The sequence below is a fragment of the Homo sapiens genome, chromosome 19, assembly GCF_000001405.40.
Source record: "Homo sapiens chromosome 19, GRCh38.p14 Primary Assembly".
Classification (NCBI taxonomy): Eukaryota; Metazoa; Chordata; class Mammalia; order Primates; family Hominidae; genus Homo; species Homo sapiens.
In genome coordinates this window covers 17,465,481-17,481,554 of record NC_000019.10, presented here as the reverse complement: position 1 = coordinate 17,481,554, position 16,074 = coordinate 17,465,481, and the positions used below count along the sequence as shown (strand labels likewise).

The 16,074-nt window shown below is 52.5% G+C and overlaps 1 protein-coding gene across 8 annotated transcripts in view, besides 6 other annotated features; it reads right to left on the bottom strand.

The window, feature by feature from the left end:
• Window positions 1-12,788, bottom strand: part of SLC27A1 (solute carrier family 27 member 1) — a 37,402-nt gene extending 24,614 nt beyond the window's left edge. For 3 of the 8 annotated variants that reach the window (NM_198580.3, XM_047438791.1, XM_047438792.1), the window contains exon 1: window positions 10,848-11,031. In NM_198580.3, coding sequence (NP_940982.1) covers window positions 10,848-11,014 — 167 coding nt within the window. In that variant the 5' untranslated portion in view covers window positions 11,015-11,031. Of the gene's footprint in view, window positions 1-10,847; window positions 11,032-11,400; window positions 11,575-11,862; window positions 11,959-12,544 lie in introns of those variants that run through there. The other 5 variants (XM_011528000.2, XM_011528003.3, XM_011528002.3 and 2 more) reach the window with 3 other exon arrangements.
• Window positions 5,581-5,875: an enhancer, noted in NCBI's record as "tiled region #2801; HepG2 Activating DNase matched - State 5:Enh". NCBI's record gives its function as "activates a minimal TATA promoter and a strong SV40 promoter by Sharpr-MPRA in HepG2 cells {active_cell/tissue: HepG2}" and the evidence as "EXISTENCE:reporter gene assay evidence [ECO:0000049][PMID:27701403]".
• Window positions 5,581-5,875: a silencer, noted in NCBI's record as "tiled region #2801; K562 Repressive non-DNase unmatched - State 23:Low". NCBI's record gives its function as "represses a minimal TATA promoter and a strong SV40 promoter by Sharpr-MPRA in K562 cells {active_cell/tissue: K562}" and the evidence as "EXISTENCE:reporter gene assay evidence [ECO:0000049][PMID:27701403]".
• Window positions 9,914-10,415: an enhancer, noted in NCBI's record as "H3K4me1 hESC enhancer chr19:17581949-17582450 (GRCh37/hg19 assembly coordinates)". NCBI's record gives its function as "activates a minimal SCP1, AML or CMV promoter by ChIP-STARR-seq in primed H9 embryonic stem cells {active_cell/tissue: H9 hESC(primed)}" and the evidence as "EXISTENCE:reporter gene assay evidence [ECO:0000049][PMID:30033119]".
• Window positions 10,957-11,086: a silencer, noted in NCBI's record as "silent region_10347". NCBI's record gives its function as "represses an Ori minimal core promoter by ATAC-STARR-seq in GM12878 lymphoblastoid cells {active_cell/tissue: GM12878}" and the evidence as "EXISTENCE:reporter gene assay evidence [ECO:0000049][PMID:35858748]".
• Window positions 11,837-11,966: an enhancer, noted in NCBI's record as "active region_14274". NCBI's record gives its function as "activates an Ori minimal core promoter by ATAC-STARR-seq in GM12878 lymphoblastoid cells {active_cell/tissue: GM12878}" and the evidence as "EXISTENCE:reporter gene assay evidence [ECO:0000049][PMID:35858748]".
• Window positions 15,018-15,067: an enhancer, noted in NCBI's record as "active region_14273". NCBI's record gives its function as "activates an Ori minimal core promoter by ATAC-STARR-seq in GM12878 lymphoblastoid cells {active_cell/tissue: GM12878}" and the evidence as "EXISTENCE:reporter gene assay evidence [ECO:0000049][PMID:35858748]".

The following is a 16,074-nucleotide window of genomic DNA, read 5'->3' as shown; positions in this document are numbered from 1 at the left end:
TCCAGCCTAGGTTATGGGAGTGAGACCCTATCTCAGAAATTTTTTAAAATCATTTTTAAAAAATGTAAATGGAGGCCAGGTGTGGTGGCATGAGCCTGTAATCCCAGCTACTCAGGAGGCTGAGGCAGGAGAATCACTTGGACCCAGGAGGCAGAGGTTGCAGTGAGCCGAGATTGCGCCACTGCACTCCAGCCTGGGTGACAGATTGAGACTCTGTCTCAAAAAAAAAAAAAAAAAAAAAGGAACTAAACCATGTGCTTTGGAGCAACGTGGATGCAGCTGGAGGCCATGACCCTGAGCAAATTAAGGCAAAAACAGAAATCCAAACACCGCCGGGCCCAGTGGCTCACGCCTGTAATCCCAGTACTTTGGGAGGCTGAGGTGGATGGATCACCTGAGGTTGGGAGTTCGAGACCAGCCTGGCCAACATGGAGAAACCCTGTCTCAACTAAAATTACAAAATTGGCCGGGCGTGGTGGCGCATGCCTGTAATCCCAACCACTTGGGAGGCTGAAGCAGGAGAATTGCTTGAACCCGGGAGGCAGAGGTTGCGGTGAGCCGAGATCGCGTCATTGCACTCCAGGCTGGGCAACAAGAGCAAAACTCCATCTCAAAAAAAAAAAAAAGAAATCCAAATACCACGTTTTCGTTATAAGTGGGAGCTAAACATTGAATACGCACGGACGCAAAGATGGGAACAACAGACACTGGGAACTCCATAAGGGGCAGCTGAAAATAACCTATTGGATATTCTATTCTGTTCACTACCTGGACAATGGGATGATTACAAGCCCAAACCTCAGCATCATACAATATACCAATGCAACAAACCAGCACGTGCAACCTGCAGCCTAAAATTAAAATTTTTAAAAAAATTGGGTGGACACGGTGGCTCACGCCTATAATGCTAGGACTTTGAAAGGTCAAGGTGGGAGGATCACTTGAGCTCAGGAGTTTGAAACCAGCCTGGGCAACAAACTGAGACCTCATCTCTGCAAAAAAAAAAAAAAAAAGAAAAAAATTAACTGGCCATTGTGGCATGTATAGTCCCAGCTACTCAGGAGGATGAGACAGGAGGATCGCTTGGGCCTAGGAGGTCAGGGTTGCAGTGAGCCATGATAATGCCACTGCAATTGAGCCTGGGTGACAGAGTAAAACTTCTTCATGAAAAAAAAAAGAGAAAGAAATGACAATAGAAATATATGTCTCAAAAATTTTTAAAAAATAGGCCAGGTGTAGTGGCTCATGTCTGTAATCTGTGCACTTTGGGAGGCCGAGGTGAGCAGATCACTTGAGGTCAGGAGTTCGAGACCAGCCCGGCCAACATGGTGAAACCCCGTCTCTACTAAAAATACAAAAATTAGCCGGATATGGTGGCACATTCCTGCAGTCCCAGCTACTTGGGAGGCTGTGGCAGGAGAATCACTGGAACCTGGGAGGTGGAGGTTGCAGTGAGCTGAGATCATGCCACTGCACTCCAGCCTGGGTGACAGAGTGAGACTCCGTCTCAAAAAAAAATTTTTTTGTATCGAAAGATAAAAAATTTGGCATCTTAAAGTCGAATGGGGGAAATGACAGTGCTATTCACTGTAGCTTCCAAAGAGCAGACCAGGCTGGGCACAGGGGCTCACGCCTGTAATCCCAGCACTTTGTGAGGCCAAGGTGGGCAGATCACTTGAGGCCAGGAGTTTGAGACCAGCCTGGCCAACATGGCAAAACTCCGTCTCTACTAAAGATACAAAAATTAGCCGTGCGTGGTGGTGGGTCCCTGTAATCCCGGCTACTCAAAAGTGTGAGGCACAAGAATCACTTGAATGTGGGAGGCAGAGGTTGCAGCGAGCCTAGATTGCACCACTGCACTCCAGCTGAGCCACAGAGCAAGACTCATCTTAAAAAAATTGAGAGAGAGAGGGAGAAAGAAACAACAATAGAATATGAAGTATGTCTCAAAAATTTAAAAAATAAAAAGTTTGGCATATTAAATTCGCATATGGGAAATAACAGTGCTATTCATTGTAGCTTCCAAAGTGCAGAAGATCAGAAAAACACCAAACGCCCTAAGCAGGGGAGGGATGACCTATACAATGGATTGTCTTTACAACAGAAAACTGGGCAGCCTGCACAAGAATGGGGCCCCCCGCTGCAGGCTGATGACTAACGGGGCTCAAACCAAGTGGGAAAATTCAGTGATTTCATGACAAAGACAGCAAATCCAGTACAAAGACACTGACAGGCCTTTGTGCCTCCCTGCATCTCCAAAATTGCCAGTAAAGGGATTTTTGTGGGTTTGTTTTGTTTTGTTTTATTTTTTTGTAGAGAAGGGATCTCATTTTGTTGGCCAGGCTGGTCTTGAACTTCTGGCCTCAGGTGATCCGCCTGCCTCGGCCTCCCAAAGTACTAGGATTCCAGGCGTGAGTACTGTTCCCAGCTGATAATTTTTTAAATTTTTTATTGTTTAGAGACAGGGTCTCACTCTGTTGCCTAGTCTGGAGTGCGGTGGCACCATTATAACTCACTACGGCCTCAAACTCCAGGGCTCAAGTGATCCTCCTGCCTCAGCCTCCTGAGTAGCTGCCATTCACCGCCATACTCAAACACATGTGGAGAGGTGAAAAATCAGAATTGCCAACATGCATGTTCCCATCTGAAGTCATCAAGACAACACTCTGCCTTCTTTTTTTTGAGACAGGGTCTCACTCAGTTGCCCAGGGTGGAGTGCAGTGGCACAATCTCGGCTCACTGCAACCTCCGCTCACTGCAACCTCTGCCTCCTGGGCTCAAGCAATCCTCCCACCTCAGCCCCCTGAGTAGCTGGGACTACAGGCGTACACCACCACACCTGGCTAATTTTTGTATTTTTGTAGAGATGGGGTTTCGCCATGTTGCCCAGGCTGGTCTCAAACTCCTGGGCTCAAGCCATCCTCCCACCTCAGACTCCCAAAGTGCTGGGATTACAGGCGTGAGCTACCGCATCTGGCCCACTCTGCCTCCTTAATTCAGCTCTCACATTGTAAACAAGCACCCTTTTCACAGTCTATTTAGTGCCATGTTTTTTGCATTTTTGTGCCTTTTTTTTTTTTTTTTTTTTGAGACGGAGTCTTGCTCTGTCGCCCAGGCTGGAGTGCAATGGCACAATCTTGGCTCACTGCAGACTCCGCCTCCCAGGTTCAAGCGATTTTCCTGCCTCAGCCTCCTGAGTAGCTGGGACCACAGGTGCCTGCCACCACACCTGGCTAATTTTTGTATTTTTAGTAGAGATGGGGTTTCATCATGTTGGCCAGGCTGGTCTCAAACTCCTGACCTCAGGTGATCCGCCTGCCTCAGCCTCCCAAAGTGCTGGGATTACAGGCATGAGCCACCGCGCCCAGCTGCATTTTTGTGATTTTTGCTGGTGACTTCGCTGTTGAAAATGACCCCCAAGCACAGGGCTGAGGCGCTTGTCTGGTGTGATGTGCCTCATGGAGAAAATATGTGTGTTACAGCAGCTTTCTTCAGGCGTGGGTTTTAGTGCTGCTAGTTGAGTTCAATGTCAACACTTCAGGGCCAGGTGTAGGGGCTCACTCCTGTAATTCCAGCACTCTGGGAGGCCAAGACAGGGGGACTATTTGAGGCCAGGAGTTCGAGGCCAGCCTGGGCAATATAGTGAGACCTCATCTCTATGTTAAAATAATTTTTTAAATTTATTTTAGAAAAAGGTGGGCGGCAGGTGCGGTGGCTCACACCTGTAATCCCAGCACTTTGGGAGGCTGAGGTGGGTGGATCACCTGAGGGCAGGAGTTCAAGACCAGCCTGCCCAACATGGTGAAACCCCGTCTCTACTAAAAATACAAAAAAATTAGCCGGGCATGGTGGCGGGCACCTGTAATCCCAGCTACTCGGGAGGCTGAGGCAAGAGACTTGCTTGAACTCAGGAGGTGGAGGTTGCAGTGAGCCAAGATTGCACCACTGCACTCCAGCCTGGGCAATGAGAGTGAGACCCTGTCTCAAAAAAAGAAAGAAAGAAAGAAAGAAGGCCAGGCACGGTGGGTCATGCCTGTAATCCCAGCTCTTTGGGAGGCCAAGGTGGGTGGATCACCTGAGGTCAGGAGTTTGAGACCACCCTGGTCAACATGATGAAACCCTGTCTCTACTACAAATACAAAAAAAGTAGCCAGGCATGGTGGTGCACACCTGTAATCCCAGCTACTCAGAAGGCTGAGGCAGGAGAATGAACCCATGAGGTGGAGGTTGCAGTGAGCTGAGATCACACCACTGCACTCCAGCCTGGGCAATCGAGCAAGATTCAGTCTCAAAAAAAAAAAAAAAAAAAAAAAAGCGCTGCTCATCCATTCAACCAATAAACAGAGCAGCCAAGATAATCATTCTCAGCTAGACATAGTAGCTCACACTTGTAATCCCAGCACTTTGGTAGGCCAAGGTGGGTGGATCACTTGAGGCCAGGAGTTCGAGACCAGCCTGGCCAACATGGCAAAACCCCGTCTCTACTAAAAATACAAAAATTAGCCAGGTGTGGTGGTGGGCACCTATAGTCCCAGCTACTTGGGAGGCTGAGCCATAAGAATTGTTTGAACCCGGGAGGTGAAGGTTGCAGTGAGCCAAGATTGCACCACTGCACTCCAGCCTGGGTGACAGTGTGAGACCATGTCTCAAAAAAAAAAAAAAAAAAAAAAACAGATGATCATTCTCAGTGTTTATTAAGCACCTACTATCTGCCATGCCCTGTGCTAACCTTATATCCACCCTCCAAAATAGGTCCCTCAGATCCCCATTTGTCAAATAATGAATGAACTGGGGGCTCGGAGTGGGGAATGGACACGCCCAAGGTCACAGAGCAATTTGAGGACAGAACAACCCAGAAACAAAGCCTCCTCCCAGGGTCCCTCTAATCCCTGGCAGACTTATTACAAAGCATTTATCAAGTGCTGGCGACGTAGCCAGTGGCAGGCCAAGTGCCCATGAGGCACACAGCAGGTGCCCAATGCCTGCGTCTTTTTTTTTCCTTTTTTTTTTTTTTTTTGAGACAGAGTCTCACTCTGTCACCCAGGCTGGAGTGCAGTGGTGCCACCTCAGCTCACTGCAACCTCTGCCTCCCGGGTTCAAACGATTCTCCTGCCTCAGCATCCCGAGTAGCTGGGATTACAGGTGCCCGCTACCACGCCCAGCTAATTTTTTTGTATTTTTAGTAGAGACAGGGTTTCGCCACGTTGGCCAGGCTAGTCTCGAACTCCTGACCTCAGGTGATCAGCCCGCCTCAGCCTCCCAAAGTGCTGGGATTACAGGCATGAGCCACCATGCCCAGCCTGGAGCACCTAGTATACACCCAATTCTGCTCTAAGGGCTTCCTGTGGGTGAATTTGACGGAGCACCCCAAGAACTCCATGATGGGGTACAAATGTTACATCCATGGGGAGAGGGCTGTTATTGAGGGAGTAACCACAGGAAACAGCCCCTGCCAGTAGGGTGCCCGTCCAGAGGCAACACAACAACAAGAAACAGGAACTGAGGCCACAGTTGGTCACCGTCAGGCTAAACACCAGAGCTAGATGTGGGAACACGAGGATTCACCCCCAGCCTCCCGGTCTCTTGGTCTCACTCGTTCTCTCTCAAGGATGCCCACACCAGCAGGCAGTGGATTCCTGTACTTGGTTCCAGCCACATGCCTAGGCAGCCCTGCCTGGCAGCTGCTCAAGCCACCCCCAGCCTGGGGACAATGAGCCCACTGTCCAGCTCTGGGCCCAGGACTCCAGGGCGGAAGAAATCAACAAGGATGAATACGATCAGATTTCATGCAGGAAGTACAGGGCATGTTAGGAGAGTCAGGGCAGGGTGCTGAAATATTTTCTGAAGCCAAGGTCTAAATTTAGCACCCCAACCACTCCAGTGCGGCACAGTGGCTAAGAGCACATGCTCTGGAGTCCTGTGCCTCCCCGGCTGTGTGTTTCTGGGCAAATAACCTCCCCTCTCTGTGCCTCTGTTCTCTCACGTGTTAAATGGGATTTGTCAGCACCCCTTCATTTTTCAAGACAGAGTCTTGCTCCCTCACCCAGGCTGGAGTGCAGTGGGGCAATCATGGCTCACTGCAGCCTTGACCTCCTGGACTCAAGCAATCCTCCCACTCAGCCTCCTGAGTAGCTGGGACCACAGGAGAGCCCCACTCCCCCAGCTAATTTTTTGCGTGTAGAGATGGAGTCTCATCATGTTGCTCAGGCTGGTCTTGAACTCCTGGCCTCAGGCAATCCTCCCATCTTGGGCTCCCAAAGTGCTGGAATTATATGCACGAGCCTCTGCACCCAGCCTCCATCAATTCTGATGTATTTTACTCATTAGAAGGGAGTCACTAGGGCTGGGCGCAGTGGTTCAGCCTGTAATACCAGCATTCTGGGAGGCCAAGGCAGGCGGATGACCTGAGGTTAGGACCTTGAGACCAGCCTGGCCAATGTGGTGAAACCCCCTCTCAACTAAAAATACAAAAATTATCCGGGTGTGGTGGCAGGCACCTGTAATCCCAGCTACTCGGGAGGCTGAGACAGGAGAATTGCTTGAACCTGGGAGCTGGAGGGTGCAGTGGAGTCACACCACTGCACTCCAGCCCGGGTGGCAGAGCAAGACTCCGTCTCAAAAAAAAAACAGGGCGCAGTGGCTCACACCTGTAATCCCAGCACTTTGGGAGGCCCAGGCGGGCAGATCACCTGAGGTCGGGAGTTCAAGACCAGCCTGGCCAACATGGAGAAACCCCGTCTCTACTAAAAATACAAAATTAGCTGGGCGTGGTGGTGCATGCCGGTAATCCCAGCTACTCAGGAGGCTAAGGCAGGAAAATAACTTGAACCTGGGAGGCGGAGGTTGCGGTGAGCCGAGATCGCGCCATTGCACTCCAGCCTGGGTGACAAAGCGAAACTCCCATCTCAAAAAAAAAAAAAAAAAAAAGAAAGGGGTCACTAGGTCCAGCCCACACTCAAAGGGAGGGGACCATACAAGTGGGAAGAGCAGGAGACAGGGATCCCTGGGGCCATCTTCAAAGCTGCCACCCACAGGCAAGTATGTCAAGCCATGTCAGGAACTTAGAACCAGGCATGGACACCCACAGGGCCCATGGGAGCAGAGCTGGAGAGGAGGGAGAGATGGGCCTGGGTGAACCCAAGAAGGAAGGGATGGCCTTCCACCTAACAAACATGTCCTGCGCTACCGCTGTGCGCCAATCCTGAGTGGGGCGCAGGGCCACAGTGGCACCAAGACTGACACAGTCTCCTTTTGTGCCCCTATAGGGCCCACAGTCTAGAAAGAGGCCCAAGATTAAAAGGCAAGAAAACAGGCCAGATGTGGTGGTTCACACCTATAATCCTAGCACTTTGGGAGGCTGAGGCAGGAGGATCTCTTGACCTCAGGAGTTCAAGACCAGCCTGGACAACATAGTGAGACCTCTCCTTTATAAAAAATAAACAAAATCTGCTGGCTGTTGTGGCACGCATCTGTAGTCCCAGCTACTTGGGAGGCTGTGATGGGAGGATCATTTGAGCCCAGGAAGTTGAGGCTACAGTGAGCTATGATCACACCACTGCACTCCAGCCTGGGTGACAGAGTGAGACTTTATCAAAAAAACAAGAAACTTCTAATCCCAAAGCAAAGAAAGAAAACAACTAAAAATGCTGGGTTAAATGAGTTAAATCTTTGTTTTGTTTTGTTTTGTTTTTTGAGATGGAGTTTCGCTCATGTTGCCCAGTCTGGAGTGTAATGGCACGATCTTGGCTCACTGCAACCTCCACCTCCCAGGTTCAAGTGATTGTCTTGCCTCAGACTCCCAAGTAGCTGAGATTACAGGCGTGCACCACCACGCCCGGCTAATTTTTGTATTTTCAGTAGAGACAAGGCTTCGCCACGTTGGCCAGGCTGGTCTCAAACTCCTGACCTCAGGTGATCCACCCGCTTCGGCCTCCCAAAGTGCTGGGATTACAGGTGTGAGCCACCGCGCCCAGCCGAGTTAATTTTTTATTAATGTAGCAACAAGGTGATCAGAAAATAAGGACCAACCAGAGGCCAAAATGTCATTGTAGCCCCAGGAGGGGGACAGCTTAGGTGTCAGACAAGCAGGTTTGAGTCTGATAAGACCTCAAAGCATGCCCATTCAACATAAAGGTGAATTGGAAATCAAAATAAGATCTTTCCTTAACATACACACACCAGGAGCTAAAAGGAAATTTGGTATCTCAGACCTTGCTGTTAGGAGGAAGGGGTGAAATCTCGATCGATGACTCATAACCTCACATGAGTTTGCAACTCCAACTGCACCATCTGGCTGTCTGAAAGTCAAGTAGACAATATGGTTCAAAGCAGTTCACGCTGGGCGCGGTAATCCCAGCACTTTGGGAGGCTGAAATTGGGTGATCGCTGGAGGCCAGGAGTTCGAGACTAGCCTGGGCAACGTGGCAGAACCACGTCTCTACAAAAAATAAAAAAATTAGCCAGGTGTGGTGGTGTGCACCTGTCATCCCAGCCACTTGGGAGGCTGAGGTAGGAGGATCGCTTAAAGCCAGGAGTTCCAGACCAGACTGGGCAATATAGCGAGACCTCATCTCTATAAAAAACATTCTATTAACTATCCAGGAGCGGAGGCAGGCGTTTGTAGTCCCAGCTAGTCAGGAGGCTGAGGTGGGAGGATTGCTTGAGCCCAGGAGATGGAGGCTGGTCCACCCTGGGCAACAGAGAAGACACCCTGTCTCAAAAAAAAGGGAGCCAGGCATGGTGGCTCATGCCTGTAATCCCAGCACTTTAGGAGGCCAAGGCAGGCGGACTACGTGATGTCAGGAGTTTGAGACCAGCCTGGTTAATACGGTGAAACCCCATCTCTACTAAAATTACAAAAATTAGCTGGGCATGGTGGCACGTGCCTGTAGTCCCAGCTACTTGGGAGGCTGACGCAGGAGAATCACTTGAACCTGGGAGGCAGAGGTTGCAGTGAGCCAAGATCGCACCACTGCACTCCAGCCTGGGCGACGGAGTGAGACTCTGCCTCAAACAAACAAACAAATGAGCAATAGACAAAAGGTAAGTGCAGCTAGGCGACAAAAGGGAAGTAAGCGGAGGCTGGGACATGGTCAGGGACCTCGTGCGCAATGCTCAGGAGTATGGCCTCAATTCTAATTCTATTTTTTTTTTTTTTTTTGAGACGGAGTCTCACTCTGTCGCCCAAGCTGGACTGCAGTGGCATGATCTCCGCTCACTGCAAGCTCCGCCTCCGGGGTTCACACCATTCTCCTGCCTCAGCCTCCCGAGTAGCTGGGACTACAGGCGTCCACCACCACGCCTGGCTAATTTTTTTGTATTTTTATTAGAAACGGGGTTTCACCGTGTTAGCCAGGATGGTTTTGATCTCCTGACCTCGTGATCTGCCTGCCTCGGCCTCCCAAAGTGCTGGGATTACAGGCGTGAGCCACCGCTCCCGGCCAGTATGGCGTCAATTCTAAGGGCAACAAGGAGCTATGGGAGGGTGCTGAGCAGGAAAATTCAGCAAAGGTTCCCAGAGGGAGAGCCTGCCCTGGCTAAAAGGGGTCCAGTATGTTCTGGGCAGCTTGAGCTTGACACTGCAAGTCTTTCTGAAGACCAGGTGAACATATGGATGGGGGGAGTGGCAGGTGGGCAGGGAACAGATGGTAGGACCTTGAGTGCCCAGCTAGGGGCTGAGTCTTCCTTCTGCCAAGGATGGGCTGGCCATGGAAGGTGTCTGAGCAGAGGGCACAGTCAGATTTCCACATCAGAACAACCAAGGAGCCGGGGGCAGGGGGCCATGGCATGCAGAAGGGGTGAGTTTTAGAAAGTTCAGAACCAGTCAACTTACGGTGGGATCTTTCCCATCTCCACACCCTCTGTGCCCTCCTTACAATGGGTTCAGTCCCTCTTGCTACTCCATCTTACAAGGAGCTGTGAAGGTGTTGAGCCCTGCCCCGCTAGCCGGCGCTCACCTGCTCCCACGTGGTGCTGTTCCTGAGGTCTGCTCTGATAGAAGCCCCCAGCAATGCCTGTTTCATCCCAGAAGGACCCCCAACGGCTCGTTTGAGCAAGTCCCTCAGAGACACCGCAAAAACCCTCCAAGGATCCTTGCACAGGACACCAGAATCTGCCCCCCTAGCATGAATCCAGTGTCCCAGTCTCCAGAAGAGACCCCCCAAACAAGTCCTGGAATACACAGCAGCCTCCCGACACACTCCGAACAACTCCCAAACCCAAAGTCCCACACAGACCCCAAAATCTCAAACAGTGCCCCAGCTGTAAACGATCCCGAGGAAACTCACACCTTCAGAAACCCGGGAAGTCCTTTATAGAGCAGCTCGCTCATCCCTCAGAGAAAGCCCTAGATAGACCCAAAGTGTCTTGGCAACCCCCCAGAGACTATCTATTGGGTCGTCCCTGTGAGCCCCGGTGACCTACTGGAGAGCCCCCTGAAGTCTCTCACAGTTATCACGGCTCCAAAAAGACCCCCACACCGCCACGGATTTCCAGTCAGCCCCAGCTCCCTGGAATTTCCACCAGTTGCCCAAAGACCCCCAAATTGCCCCCCAAATCCCCTGAGATCATCTCCTAAGCAGCCTGCAACGCCCGAAGCACCTTAGAGGCTACTCATCTTCCTCGAGAAATCCTTAAAGTGTCCCCTGTAGCCCCCTCAGAGACCCCCAACTGGTCACCCTCTCAGGCCCCGCCCCCGCCCAGCCCTCGGCCCAGCCCCGCCCCCAACCTACAAAGCACCCTCAGCTCTCCGGACCCTCCAAGCCGTCCCCGCAACCCAGCCCTGCACCGTGCGCCCCCAGAGCCCTCAGCCCCGCCCCCAGCCCTGGACGGATCCCGGCAACACTCACAAGAGGTCTCGCCTCGCGGTCTTGCAGACGATGCGCAGGAAGCGCCAGCCGCCGCTGCCCACGTACACGCCGAGCGCCGCTGCCGCGCTCCAGGTCCACGGCAGCCCCAGCAGCCACAACAGCGCCAGCGAGACCACCGAGGCCGCGCCCGCACCCGGAGCCCGCATCCTGGGGAAGCAGAGAGAGCTGAGGCCGCGGGCCGCTCCAGCCCCGCCCCACGACCCGCTCCGCCCCACGACCGCCCCCGCCTCTACAGCGAGCCGCGCCCCCAGGCCTCGGCTCTGCGCCCCCCGCGAGTCCGGGAACGCGCTCCGAGTCAGACTCCGCCCCCAGGCCTGGGATTGGTCAACTCCTCAGGCCAGGCATCGCCCCTTTCCAGGCTTTTACACCCGCCCGCTAACTAGGAACCAGACCAGGGCCCCAGGCCTGGGATTGGCCAGGTCCTGGCCAGGCTCCGCCCCCGGACCCTGGGTCCGCTCTATTCCATATTTTTGAGCCCATCCTTCCCTGCCAATCTTACAACAGTCCCCGCCCCCAGAGCCAGCATGTCCACCTTGTCGGTCACTGTCAGGCCTCGCCACATGCCTTCATCTAGCCTCTATCCTCGATCCCCGAATTACCCTTCACGTCCTGTCCCCTTTCCTCCTGGTCCTGCCTCTACCCCGTGGCCTTTTCACCACTCACTGGGCCCCGCCCTTAGGTTATGCTTCTAGCCCAGCCCACAGGTACAAGCCCTCTCCCCGAGTCCCGCCCCTCTCAGCCAGGCCCCACCCCCTAGGTTAGACATATGCCTCCCCACCCCCCCGCAATAAGCACACGCCCCACCCTCCCGAAACTAGAGCCCTCCCCAATCCGTTCAAGCCCCACCCCAGTTCCGGGCCTAGCCCAAGTTCCCAGGCTCAGGTTCTATCCTGGCCACGGGCCCCGCCCTCAGGCTTTGGCTCGGTCGCCACCTCCTGGGTTTCACTCCGGCCCCCCTAGGACCTAGGCCCCGCCCCTCTTCCCTCCTGTCTACTTCGAAGCCCCTCAGCCCGCAGAGCCGAGGCCGGCCGTCTTCCAGAAGCCACGACCATAGAGAGGCAACCGGACCGGAGAGGCGACGGCCAAAGAGACATGGGTGCTAGAACGGCCCGCCAGGGTCGTCCGCTGTCTCCATGACAACCAAGCCTTGCCCCACCCCCTCTCCTTTTAGGAAACACACGTGTCCTGCAGCCTTGGGGCGTGGCTCGCAAGATATCAGGACCCGAGCCCTAGTTGGCGTGCAGGATCTCTACCCCGGGGGACCAAAAATATCCCAGTCCACACCCACGGCCCGCGCGGGCTGTATTCTTGCTCCAGCTTGTCCTAAATCCAAGCCCCAAAGCCTCTTTCGGTCTTAAAAACACGTTCCAGGGCCCGGGGGAGTGCTCAACTCACACCATTGGGGCCTCAGAAGTCTCTAACTGTAAACACCGCCGCGGTCTTAACACGTGTGATTCAAGGACACAGCTAATTCTTAATCCATGTCCCGAAGCCTTGTCGGTTAAGTCTCACCGTCACACCCCAGGATCCCAGGGAGGACAAAATCCACACGCCAGGTCCCCATCCTTCCTAGAAGCACCTACAGGCCCTTTACTTGCACCCCGGGGTCCTAGATGCTCCCCCAGGCGCTGCCAGCGCTGGCCTGGGGGCACGCACAACCCCATTCTCTGGCTGACCTGAAGCTGCAAGCCGTGCCTTCAGTCTCCCAGAAGCTCAGGCAGGAGGCAGGCAGGGACTAGGAGGCTGAGGCCGGGGACCTTTCTGTTTCTGCAGACTCCTGGACCCTTCTTGGGTGCGCTGTGCCTACTGTGCGGGCTTCTGCTTTGGGGTCCTTCCCTTCCAGCTCCCCCTCCTCTGCCCCACTGCCGACTCCACCACTGCTTGTTTTCTGCTCTCCTTGGCCGACCTTTCCAGCGTTCTCCTTAGGAGGCGGCCCGGGCCTGATTCCAATGCATTTGGAGGACAGGGCTGGGCAGGCACTCACCCCCTACGCTGCCATTGGTCCCTGCGGGCAGCAGGGTGGCTGGAATGAGGGATCACGAGGAAGATCCGGAGGACAGGCCCAGAGCCAGCCACTGGCCTGCTGCTTTCTGGGCCTGGAAGAGTCAGCAATGACCAGTAACTGCAGTTGCACTCTTACCTAGCCAGGTAGCACCGCTGTGATCACCCCATTTGACAGGTAAAGAAACTGAGGGCAGGCTGGGCGTGGTGACTCACGCCTGTAATCCCAGCATTTTGGGAGGCCGAGTTGGGTGGATCACTTGAGGCCAGAAGTTCGAAACCAGCCTGACCAACATGACGAAACCCCGTCTCTACTAAAAATACAAAAATTAGTCAGGCATGGTGGAGCACACCTGTAATCCCAGCTACTCCGGAGGCTGAGGGAGCAGAATCACTTGAACCCGGAAGGCAGAGGATCCAGTGAGCCGAGATCGCGTCACTATACTCCAGCCTGGGTGACAAAGCAAGACCCTGTCTTAAAAAAAAAAAAATAGAAGAGAGAAAGAAAGAAAGAAAAGAAAGAAACAAAGAAAGAAGGAAGAAAGAAACTGAGGACTGGAGCTGTCATGCTTACTTGGAATTGAGATTCATTCATTCATAAATGTCAGCTGAGTGTTCCCTGTCCCTCCTCCCCTCCTCTCCTCCTTTCCCTCCTCCTTCCTCTCTTCTTACCCCTCCTCCTCCTTTTTCTTCTCTAAACTTCCCCTCCACCTTTCTTGTGCTCTGATTCTCTCTTCTCTTACCCCACTTCCTCCTTCTCTCTTTCTCCCTCCTTCTCTCCTTTCTGCCCTTTTCTCTCCTCCTCCCTGCCCTCCTCCTCTCTTCCCCCCTTCCTTTTTTCCTATCCTCCCTTTTCCCCCTCCATCTTACCAGTTTGTTTGTTTGTTTTGAGATGGAATCTTACTCTGTCACACAGGCTGGAGTGCAATGTCTCAATCTTGGCTCACTGCAACCTCCGCCTCCTGGGTCCACGCGATTCCTGCCTCAGCCTCCCCAGGAGCTGGGATTACAGGCGCATGCCACCAAGCCTAGCTAATTATGTATTTTTGGTAGAGACAGGGTTTCACCATGTTGACCAGGCTGGTCACGAACTTCTGATCTCAAGCGATCCGCCTGCCTTGGCCTCCCAAAGTGCTGGGATTACAGACGTGAGGCACCACACCCAGCCAAGAGTTCTAGTTTCTAAAACCTACCTTGGGAAAGAGGGATTCTAGTTTTTATGGCCAGCCTTGGGGGAGAATAGATCTGAGACACAAGAGGGCAGGAGAAGGTCAGAGAAAAACTTTTGCTTCTGAGATCTTCATTTTGGGGTGTTTTTTTTCTTTCTTTCTTTCTTTCTGTCTGTCTGTCTGTCTCTCTCTCTCTCTCTCTCTCTCTCTCTCTCTCTCTCTCTCTTTCTCTCTCTCTTTCTTTTTTTCAGTCGGAGTCTTGCTCTGTCACCCAGGCTGGAGTGCAGTTGCCCAATCTCAGCTCACTGCGACTTTTGCCTCCCGGGTTCAAGAGATTCTCCTGCCTCAGCCTCCCGAGTAGCTGGGATTACAGATGCACACAACCGTGCCTGGCTAATTTTTGTATTTTTAGTAGAGATGGGGTTTTGCCATGTTGGCCAGGCTGGTCTCAAACTCCTGACCTCAAGTGATCCCCCACCTCGGCCTCCCAAAGTGCTGGGATTACAGGCATGAGCCACTGAGCCCGGCCTGGGTATTATTTTCTGAGCCCCCTAAAACAGCACGGGTATACAGCAGCCTCTGCCCCCAGTTGTTTTCCTAAAATACAAAATCTCCCAATTCACAAACACAGCTGTCCCCAGGGATTTCAGATGAGGGATTGGGGACTGTCCTATCCCCAGGAAACTGAGATGTGGACCAGGGAGTAAAACTCAGGCTTCCGGGCCAAACTGCTCTCTGCTCGTTTCTAGCCAGGTAGTCTTGGACTGATCACCTCTGTGGGCGGCAAGCCACCCAGGTGCCGAGGCAAGAGACCGAGGGCACAAACTGTTCCAGTATAATAAACAAAATATATAGAATAAGAATAGTTATACAAGAAATAGAATATAGATATGATTATATATGAATATTATTAATCATTCGTTAGTTTGTAGCATTACTCTTTATTCCAATATTAAAATAATCTCTGTTCTACAATTATAACCTAGGAAAAACCAGGCCATACAGAGGTAGGAGCTGAAGGGACACAGTGAGAAGTCACCAGAAGACAAGTGTGAGCCCTCTGTCATGCCCGAACAGGGCCACTAGAGGGCTCCCTGGTCTAGCGGTAACGCCAGCGCCTGGGAAGGCACCCATTACTTAGCCGACCTGGAAAGGGAGTCTCCCTTTCCCCAGGGGAGTTAGAGAAGACTCTGCTCCACCACCTCTTGTGGAAGGCCTGACATTAGTCAGGCCCGCCCGCAGCCATCCAGAGGCCTAAACGTGCCCCTGTGATGCTGTGCTTCAGCGGTCACGCTCCCGTTTACAACATCAGTCATTGGATTTAGGGCCCACTCAGATAATCCAGGATGATGTCATCTCAAGATCCTTAACTAAGTAACACCTGCAAAGACTCCTTCCAAACAAGGTCCCATTAACAGGTTCCGGGGGCGAAGGCATGGATATATCTTTTTGTGGGGAGCCTGTAGTTCAACCCACTACAGAAGGAGGAAAGATGAGAGCTATGGTTCTCAACAGAGGCCACATGGACTTCAAAGATGAAAGTGTTTACCTCCTAGTCCTCTACAGACAAGAGGCACAGAGCCCTGGACTAGAGCTTCTTTCTTTCTTTCTTTCTTTCTTTCTCTCTCTCTCTTTCTTTCTTTTGTCTTTCTATCTTCCTTCCCTCCTTCCTTCCTTCTCTTTCTTTCTTTTCTTTCTTTCTTTTTCTTTTTTTTTGAGACAGAGTCTCACTCTGTCGCCAGGCTGGAGTGCAGTGGCGTGATCTTGGCTCATTGCAACCTCCTCCTGCCGGGTTCAAGCGATTCTCCTGCCTCAGCCTCCCAAGTAGCTGGGACTACAGGCATGTGCCACCATGCCCAGCTAATTTTTGTATTTTTAGTAGAGACAGGGTTTCACCATGTTGGCCAGGATGGTCTTGATCTCTTGACCTCATGATCCACCTGCCTTGGCCTCCCAAAGTGCTGGGATTACAGGCATGAGCTACCGCGCCCCGCCCCTTGTTTCCTTTTTATTGTTGAGACAGGGTCTCAGTCTGT